The sequence below is a fragment of the Homo sapiens genome, chromosome 1 (assembly GCF_000001405.40).
Source record: "Homo sapiens chromosome 1, GRCh38.p14 Primary Assembly".
Lineage (NCBI taxonomy): Eukaryota > Metazoa > Chordata > Mammalia > Primates > Hominidae > Homo > Homo sapiens.
This window is the reverse complement of record NC_000001.11, coordinates 167163835-167174092: the sequence shown is the minus strand read 5'-3', so window position 1 is coordinate 167174092 and position 10258 is coordinate 167163835. Positions and strand designations below refer to the sequence as shown.

At 44.0% G+C, this 10258-nt stretch overlaps 1 long non-coding RNA gene across 1 annotated transcript; it reads right to left on the bottom strand.

The window, feature by feature from the left end:
* Nucleotides 1-791: 791 nt before the first annotated feature.
* On the bottom strand, nt 792-7493 carry LOC105371601 (uncharacterized). The gene is made up of 3 exons (XR_922250.3): nt 6930-7493; nt 5529-5597; nt 792-3126 (listed from the first exon to the last, which is right to left on the bottom strand). It is a non-coding gene; the product is annotated as an uncharacterized LOC105371601 (long non-coding RNA).
* Nucleotides 7494-10258: the final 2765 nt, after the last annotated feature.

Below are 10258 nucleotides of genomic sequence, written 5' to 3'. Positions count from 1 at the left end.
AACAAACCAAAAAAAAAAAAAAAAGGAATTTTTAAGCCTGTCACCTCTGGTCTATTTCTTTTCATCTTCTAAGCTAAATTCCAAATGGGTAATTGCATTAGTCATCCCCCACTCCAGCCTTCCCTGTGGAGCGAGCCCTTGAGCTCTCTCTCCCTCATTCTTTCATGGAGTTGGGGCACAGTTTATAAAAGTCCCCATCCCTAAATTCTCAATCTGTACCCTCTCTGGAACTTGTCTCTTCCCAGAAACTAGCTATTCTAATCTTAACCGAAGCTGCAAAGGCTTCTAGAACATAACTTTTCTCCTTGTCACATCTTGCAGCCATTGAAGGACACAGAAAGCTAGTTGCTACTGCTGCTGCTGTAAGGAAAATGAGTCAGAGAGCACTGGGGGAGCCCTGCTGAGAAAGGGGCCAGGGCATGGGCTAAGATGGGATAGAATGTGCCACGGGATTTAGGAAAGTGTGGGCTGGATGTGAAATTGGGCACAACCAAACTGAATTGCAGTGCTGATTATTACAAATGGAATAAAAGTTTGTCGATTTTCCTTACAAATTTGACATTTTCTCCAGGGTAGCCCTAGTTTTCTCTTTTGTGGGCAGGGCCTGGACAATTTCCCTAGGACCATTCATCATATCTTCCCACCTGGCTCCAGCCCCCAAATACACATTGAGATACATGAAGAAGCCACCATCTCTCCCTGGGGAGTTTCCCTCTCATTGGACTTCCTTGTTGTATTTTGTATTAGTCTGCACTCATGCTGCTAATAAAGACATACCCAAGACTGGGGAATTTATAAAGAAAAAGATGTTTAATGGACTCACAGTTTCATATGGCTGGGGAGGCCTCACAATCATGGCTGAAGGCAAAGGAGGAGCAAAGGCATACCTTACATGGTGGCAGGCAAGAAAGAGCAAGTGCAGGGGAATTGCCCTTTTATAAAACCATCAGATCTCATGAGACTTATTCACTATCATGAGAACAGCACAGGAAAAACCTGCCCCATGACTCAATTACCCCCTACTAGGTCCCTTCCACAAAACGTGGGAATTATGGGAGCTACAATTCAAGATGAGATATGGATGGGGACATGGCCAAACCATATCATTCCACCCCAGCCCCTCCCAAATATCATATCCTCACATTTCAAAACCAATCATGCCTTCCCAACAGTCCCCCAAGGTCTTAACTCATTTCAGCATTAACTTGAAAGTCCAAGTCCAAAGTCATATCTGAGACAAGGCAAGTCCCTTCCACCTATGAGCCTGTAAAATCACAAGCAAGTTAGTTACTTCCTAGATACAATGGGGGTACAGGCATTGGGTAAATACAGTTGTCCCAAATGGGAGAAATTGGCCAAAACAAAGCGGCTACAGGCCCCATACAAGCCCAAAATCCAGTAAGGCAGTGACTGAATCTTAAATCTCTGAAATAATCTCCTTTGACTCCATGTCTCACATCCAGGTCACACTGATGCAAGAGTTGGGCTCCCATGGCTTTGGGCAGCTCCACTCCTGTGGCTTTGCAGGGTACAGTCCCACTCCTGGCTGCTTTCATGGGCTGGCATTGAGTGTCTGTGGCTTTTCCAGGCACATGGTGCAAGCCGTTGTGGATCTACCATTCTGGGGTCTGCAGGATGGTGGTCTTCTTCTCACAGCTCCACTAGGAAGTGCCCCAGTGGGGACTCTGTGTGGGGGCTCTGACCCCACATTTCCCTTCTGCACTGCCCTAGCAGAGGTTCCCCATGAGGGTTCTGCCCCTGTAGCAAGCTTCTGCCCAGATATTCAGGTGTTTTCATACATCCTCTGAAATCTAGGCAGAAGTTCCCAAACCTCAGTTCTTGACTTCTGTGTACCCACAGGCCCAACACCATGTGGAAGCTGCCAGAGCTTGGGGTTTGCACCCCTGAAGCAGTGGCCTGAGTTGTACCTTGGCCCCTTTTAGCCACCGCTACAGCGGCTGGGTCACAGGGCACCAAGTCCCTAGACTGCACACAGTAGGGGAGCCCTGCCTGAAGAGGGCCCAGATAATAGGGGAAACAGACCTTTCAATAGAAAAACTATATGTGTGCAAAAATATGGTGTGTGCTATTATAGATATATTAATAGAATAAAAGGAGAGAAAGGGAGCAACTAATTCTGGGGAAGTCAAGGAAGGCTTCACCAAGGAATTAATATTTTTGCTAAATTGAATAAGTAGGATATTCTAACACCCACTGGTGTTCTGCAATTGAATTCTGGCATTAACCACCCAGAGTTAGGGCAGATCTCATGTGACGGTTAATTTTACGTGTCAGTTTAACTGGATTCAGGGCTGCCTATACGGCTGATGAAGCATTGTTTCTGGGCATGCCTGTGAGGGTGTGAGTCAGTGGACTGAGAGAGAGCAGAAGATTCACCCTTAAGGGGGCAGTCACCATCCAATCGTCAGTGGCCCTGGCTGGCACAAGCAGGCAGAAGAAGGGGGCTTGTTCTCTCTCTCTCCCCCTTTTTCTCTCTCTCCCTTCTGGGATGGAATGCTTTTTTTCCTCCTGACTTTGGACATAAGACTCAGGCCCTTCTGCTTTTGGACTCTGGGACTTGTGCCAGTGGCCTTCTGGGGACAGTCAGGTCTGTAGCCTCAGATGACGGGGGCCTGCACTGTCTGCTTCCCTGTTCTGAGGCTTCTAGACTTGGACTGAACCATTCATGCTACCAGCTTTGAACTGTGCTACCGGCTTCTCCGGTTTTCCAGCTCACAGACAACTATTGTGGGACTTCTCCACTTCCATGATTGTGTGAGCCAACTCCCCCTAATAAATCACCTTTCATATATCCCACTGATTCTGTCTCTCTGGAGGACCCTGAGTAATACACCCCACAAATGAAGGGCACAGTCCCCCTCACGAGGGTCTCAACTTCAGACACCAGCCACAAGTTCAGGGGGTCTCCAGGCCACCTACACTTCGGACTAACTAGATACTCAGGGATTCTCATGACCTGGTCAGGTTAGATAATTCACTGGAACGACTCACAGAACTCAGGAAAGTGCTCTACTTCCAATTACAGACACTTACGAGAAAGGATATAGGTCAGGACCAGCCACATGAAGAGACACATGGGGTGAGGGCTGAGAGAGTCCCAGGAACCTGGGAAAAAGACCACACAAGTCCTTTATTATATGACATAAAGTATGCTGGATAGAAAATTCCATCAAATGATTAAGGATTGCTGGAAGTGAAGATTTGAGGGTCATTGCCCTAAACTGATCAAACCCAAGCTGGAGATTTCTTGGTCCCCATAGACAGGGCAACAAGTGAGCTTGGCTCCTTTATCTCTTCTCTCCCGCTTCCTCACTTTTGCATCTCCCCCCACCTCTCTTTCTTGTGGTTCCTTTTCATCCATTCCTTCAATCTCTCCTCCCTGAATTGCTTAAACTATGACACAAAGCCCCAAACCCCAATGGGGCTACCATTACTTCAGGACAGTCCTCCTTTCTAACTGCCCTCCTCCCAAGGCTGCAAGTCAAATATAACAACCATGAAGTCCCATCACTGTGTCTCACATCAGTTGCCAGAGGTGAAATCATGTGGGGGTTCACAGTATCTCAGATTTTATATTCTTTAAAGCAGTCACCACTCAGAAAGAAAAATCTGGAGCTTTTTATGGTGTCTTTAGAAAGGAGAGGGAAAAATAATGTTCCCTGGGATCTCTGTGATGTTAGCTCTGCCTCACATCACACTCTTCCCATTATCGCTGGATTTATTCTCATCCTCTTCTGGGAGGTGGGAAAGAGACTGTCATTGTTGTTGCCTTACAGGCTTCAGGTTTGCTCCAAAGGCATTGCCATGAAAGAAAGGCCGATTCCTTTGATGGCACACGAACTGGCACGTGTCCTCCCGCTCTCTTTCTCTCTCACTCTATAGGAGGTTAGGGTGTTGGTAGGAAAAAATTATGAAAAGGAGGGGAAGGTTCAAACTATATGTGAATAAAAACAATTTATCTCCATGAAATAAAGTTATGAAATAAAAATGATCATTCTTTCCAGGGACATTGTGAGATTGGGTGGGGAAGGAGGAGGTTTTTTGTTGTTGTTGTTGTTTTTTCTTAAGGAGCCCCAGGACCTCCCATTTATGTATTCAACAAATGTTTACTGAACACCTACTGTAATGGTTAATTTTAGGTGCCAAACTTGACAAGATTAAGGAACACCTAGAGAACTGGTACAGCATTGTTTCTGGGTGTGTCCATGAGGGTGCTTCCAGAGGAGACCGGCGTGTGAGTCAGTGGACTGAGGGAGGAAGTCTGCCCTCAATGTACATAGGCACTGTCCAATCAAGGGGGGCCTGAAGAGAGCAAAAAGGTAGAAGAAAGGCAAATTCTTTCCCCTCCCTTCTGGAGCTGGCACACCCTTCTTCTCCTACCCTTGGACATCAGAACTCCAGACTTACTGGCCTTTAGGTCAGGTCAGGACCTGCACCAGTGGCCTCTCCCTGGTTTTCTTGGGCTTTTGGCCTTGGATTGAGAGTTACACTATCGGCTTCTCTGGTTCAGAGGTCTTTAGACTTGGACTAGGTCATGCTACCAGCTTCCTGAGGTCTCTAACGTAGAGGTAGCCTGTCATGGTACTTCTCAGCCTCCATAATCACATGAGCCAATTCCCCTAATCAATCTCCTCTTATATCTTTCTATGTGTCTGTCCATAGCCTATTCATTCTGTCTCTCTGGAGAACTCTGACTAATATACCTGCTCTGTGCCAGGCATTGTACTAGATGCTTAAAATATAGCAGGGAATGAAATTGAAAAAGTCCCTGTACTGGTGAAGTTTACATTCCCTTGAGGAAAGACAAACCAATAAATGTGTGATATTCTAGGTGGTGATCACTGCTATGAAGGAAAGTAGAACTGGTTAAGCAATTAGCGAGTGACGGAAGGGGGTGGATTTTGCTAGGGAGTCCAAGGATGGCGTCACTGTAAAGTGATGTGTGAAGTGAATTGAGGGAGTGAGATCACTGAGGAGAGAGAGTTACTAGTGGAGGCAGCAAATGCAAAGGCATTGAGGTAGAAGTCTTCAACCTCACAGCATTATTCCTCCCCACTTTTTTTAACTCTTTGTTTCCAGTTTCCCCATCATCTTCCTCCTCTTTTTCTAATCTCTTTCCCACCTTTTCTTCCCTCTCCTTCCCTTATTTTTTCCATCTTAACATCAGTTTTTCTAAGCACTGTCTTATAGTAAGCCTGATCTTGTCCAGAAAATGCTAAATTTTAAGAAAGATGGGTGGGGGTGGAGGGAGGAAATGTGTCTCAGTGAGTGACACCCAGGCTACATATCGCCGTTGTATGACCATGGCGTGCTATGTGCTTCAAGAAAGTCCTTCACTGGCTCTGGGCCACCTGCAGAGAAAAGTCGGCGCTTCAAACCATGGGTGCCATGTCCTGTCAGTGACTCTTGCCAGCTCTGAAGAATGTGCACAGTGGACGTGGGATGGAGAGGAAGAGGCTATAGAAAGCACATTTCTCTATCTGTCAGCAGCCAAACTGGAAACTCACCAGGACCTGCCAGAAAGATTTCCTGCTTCATGAATTGAAATCAGAATGCTTAACTCTGCTCAGCTCCGTCTGTGATAGAGGAGATAGAAGCTGGTTAGCTTATATACAGTTTTGGAAAGTACATTACATTTTATAAAACAACGTGAAAAATATCTCCTAACAATGTCAGGATTTCTACACCTTCTTCTCTTTAGCCTCATGCCAAAAGATATGCAGTGATGAAGTCCCTGGCCCTTTAAAAAATAACTCCCAATCATTTGTGCAAAGATCAGGTCTGCCACAAATATTAAAGTTTAGGGTGTCTTCAAACACACTCTTAAAGAGGGAAATGCCTGGTGGAGGTAGTGTCTGCCTCACAATAGAGACTGAAGATGGATTAAGAAACACATTTCTCTCAAATGTGTTATCTCTTCTCTATGATTGAAACTGCCTTTGCAAAATTATGACTGAGACAGTGAAAGAGATCTAACGTAACTGACTCCATTTTGCTTTTAACCTCCAAGCTGTCCTTATTCATTCCTGGGCGTAGGAGGAACTTAGTTTATAGTTTAAAACAAAGACGATAACAGCCCTTTCCCCAAACAAGACGCCTTTGTAGGACTAACATTAGCCACAAGATTAGAAATTATGGTTTAGGAGTCATGCAGCTGGACACTACAAGATTCTGACCCAACCTAAACTGCTCCTAAGATCAGTGCTTGAGATATTTTGCAGATGCTGCACTGGATGGATCAGCTGATACCACCCAGATCAATAAACTGGCTCATCTGATCCTGTGGCCCCACCCAGGAGCTGACTCAGTGCAAGAAGACAGCTTCAACTTCCTAAGATTTCATCTCTGACCTGACCAATCAGCATTCCTGGCTCAATGGCTTCCCCCTGCCCACCAAGTTGTCCTTAAAAACTCTGATCCTAGAATGCTGGGGGAGACTGATTTGAGTAATAACAAAACTCAGGTCTCCTGCACAGCTGGCTCTGTATGAATTACTTTTTCTCTATTGCAATTCCCCTGTCTTGATAAATTGGCTCTGCCTAGGCAGCAGGCAAGGTTACATTGGGTGGCTACATTCTTATATCCTGAACTTCCCCTTCTGATGTTGACTCTACTCTATAAGACCCAGACTGAGTCAGGTCATTCCTGCTAGGAATCTCCCCATTGCTTCCTCTGGGGAGCATCTCCCAGCACCACCTGGACGTTAAGTCCTGCAGCCTTTGCCACTTTGTAAGGTAACAATTCATTTCCACATCAGCCTCCCCTACTAGTCTGCAGGCCCCTCACAGTCTCATGAGGGGCTTGTGGTCTCATTCATCTCCACATGGTCTTGTCCACTTCGTAGGCACTGAAATGTTAAATGAATGGATGAGCAGGGGCTAATTTCAAAAGAGAATGTGTGGTCCTACCTCGGTTTTACTTCTGACATTCTCATGTCACTGCAATGGCTTTTCTCCAGACAGTTCTTGACCTGGAAGACTCTTCTGGGCGTTTGTGTTTGTCCACCTCTTGGCTTCCTCATGATCTTCTCCTTATCTTTGCATTTGTCTGATTTAGATGAGGAGGTCACTGCTTTGCATCTGTAGAGCACTCAATATATCTAAAAACTGCAAAACCCAACTCTGAGTTTACAGTCAGTAGCAAGCTGTTAACTCCTAGCACGTGGGGAATCATCTGTTAGAGTTGGAACAGTGCCCTGGGAAGTTTTACATTATTTGTGTGTCAAAGAATAGGAAGGAAGAAAAGAAGGAAGGAAGGAGATTTTAAAAAGAATGGATATTATTTAAAAAGGAAACACTTGGAAAAAATTATTTCATTTGTTCATTCCCTCACTCATATTAACTGAATAGGAAACTTTATTGCATGGGTGCATGAAATGTTACTCGAGCCCTCCTTATCACAGACACTGTCCTGGGTATGAGGAGCATAGGAGGGAGCATGACATCTGTGGTTGCAGGCGGCTCAGTGTTTATGGTCTGGCACCCCTCAGGAGGCTGGGTAATATACATGGCCCGGGTCACATAGCTGGAATACCTAGCAGCTTTCCCCCCGTTGCCATGGAGACCCTGGAGACGGGAAGAGGAGGGAAGGCCTTTCTGGTATCTTCCAGCAGCTCCCAACACCCTTTCGTCTTAGCCTGGGCCTTTTCTTCAGCTGCAAACACCCACGAGGGAAATGTGCAGCTGACCTCTGGGGTCCCCGGGCTGAGGGTGATGTACGCCACAGTGGAGGAGGACATTGGCGCTGCCTCAAGGCTGCTGAGCAGACCTGCCATGAAGAAAATTATGAGGTGAATTAAACTTTAATTTGATTTTTATTTGGTTTCAGCAACCAGTAAAGACATAGCGATTTCCCCAGCCCTCTCACTGGTTGGAGGAATGCTTTGAGAACATCTGTTTTATTAGCAGCAACAACAATAAAAGCCAATCCTATATTTGCAGAGGGGCTGTCTTCCAAGGCCCTCCAAGTACTTTTCGCTGATCTTATCTGCTCTCCTTTCCACAGCAACCCCAGAGAAATTGTATTTACTTGTAATTAAGCTTAACCGCTGACCTCTCCTGCAGCTCTCCCCACTACTGTCTGCTCAACCATTTGCATCGCAAAAAGGAAGACTAGCAAGGTGGAGATTGGGGGAGGCTTCGGGGAGAAGAAAGAGCAAGGTGGAAATAATTTTTTCCAAGTGTTTCCTTTTTTAAATAATATCCATTCTTTTTAAAATCTCCTTCCTTCCTTCTTTTCTTCCTTCCTATTCAACACTTACTGGGTATTCAGTACCAAGCCAGCATAAAGCTGTGTTCTGGGTTTTCAGGATTAGGAAGGTGTATAGAGATGTGTAGGCACAGGGAAAAAGTGAGAAAACATTTCTAGCTTGCATAGAATTCTGTTTTTCTGAAAGAATAGAAAAATATAGAAATTTCCTATGTTTTTCCTAAATATCTTCTCTTCCTTTTTCTCTTCATTTGCTAAGATACCTAAATTATTATTATTTTTAAAAAGACATAATTATCTTAATTACGTGACAGAAATTGACTATGCTTTAGGTACTAAAAGTGATGCTGTTTTAAATTCTACAAGCCCAGTGGATAAACAAAATATGGTATATTCATGTAATGGAAGATTATTCTGACAGGAAGAGGAATAAAATACTAAATGAAATACTACATTGTGGGTGAAATTTGAAAACCTTATGCTAAGTGAAAGAAGCTAGTTATAAATGACAACATATTGTATGATTCCACGTATGTGAAATGTCCAAAGTATGCAAATTCAGTGAGACAGGGAGTAAAAGTGGTTGCCAAGGTTTGGGAGGAGAGATAAATGGGGAATAACAGCTGATGGGTTTAGAGTTCCTTTTGGGGGTGATGAAAATATTCTGGAATTACCTAATGGTGATAGTTGTACAACCTTGGAGTATATTAATCAAAGTGTGCCCAGCTCTTTGTGAAGATGACTCTTTATTACCATTTTGAATCTGTTCCCCTCTAACAACACATATAATCAAAAAGTCATCAGATTAATGTGATGTTTATTAAGAATGTGTAATAACATGAATAAATGCTTCTTATAACATGAACTTTAAAAAGTGGGTTATAATGTGGGGTTGCAGTGTGCACATAACCACTGAATTGCACCATTTAAATAGGTGAATTTTGTACTATGTAAAATATATTGCAATAAAGCTTTAGAAAACATTCTACAGGCCTGGTAGCAGTGTGTAATCTCAGGGTGGAGGTCACTCATAAATTTCATTCCAAATACTTCACAGTCTGTGTAAGGGGTTTGAGATGCCTCACTATTCTTTGAGATAGGAAACAACAAGGGTTTGGTGATGGGAAAAATCCTGAAAATAAGGCATTGGATGAGCAAAGTAGGAGATGGTTGGCATAGGATGGCACTGAGCCTTCATGCACACTGGAAGCATGTTTGCACATGGATCAGCAATACATATGCAGTGAGGGAGGGTGCACATGTATTGCCAGACAAGTAATGCATATGGGGACCTGGAGGTTGGGTAGAAATGAGGATCAGGAATGTAGAGAGGGGCTCTTCACTGGGTTGATAAAATAATAATGCACCATGGCTGGGCACGGTGGCTCACACCTGTAATCCCAGCACTTTGGGAGACAGAGGCAGGTGGATCACCTGAGGTCAGGAGTTTGAGACCAGCCTTGGCCAACATGGTGAAACCTTATCTCTGCTAAAAATACAAAAATCAGCCAGGTGTGGTGGTGGGCGCCTGTAATCCCAGCTACTCAGGAGGCTGAGGCAGGAGAATCACTTGAACTCAGGAGGCGGAGGTTTTAGTGAGCCAAGATCGTGCCACTGCACTCCAGCCTGGGGAACACAGACAGACTCCGTCTGAAAAAAAAAAGCACCACAACTGAGGAGTTCAATTGCTTTTGAAGGTTAAAATACTGCAGAGAAGATTCTTAAAGCAGAGGCTGGGGAGATAAACCAACAAAAGAATAATGTAAGGCAAAATGTAATCAAGACTAATGTGTTTCCCAAGTTATAAGTCAATAGGGAAGTGCAGTCACTTTTTTAAAAAATTAAAATTATTTTTCTATTAAAGGATATTATATAAATTAAAAATATAAACAGATGCATTTATTTCTATTGTTTTTTTCCTAATCCTAGACCTTTTGTTGTTATTTTAAAACTTATATGCACACTGCAACCCAACATTGTAACCCACTTTTTTCAGTTCATATTATAAGAAGCATTTACTCATATCATT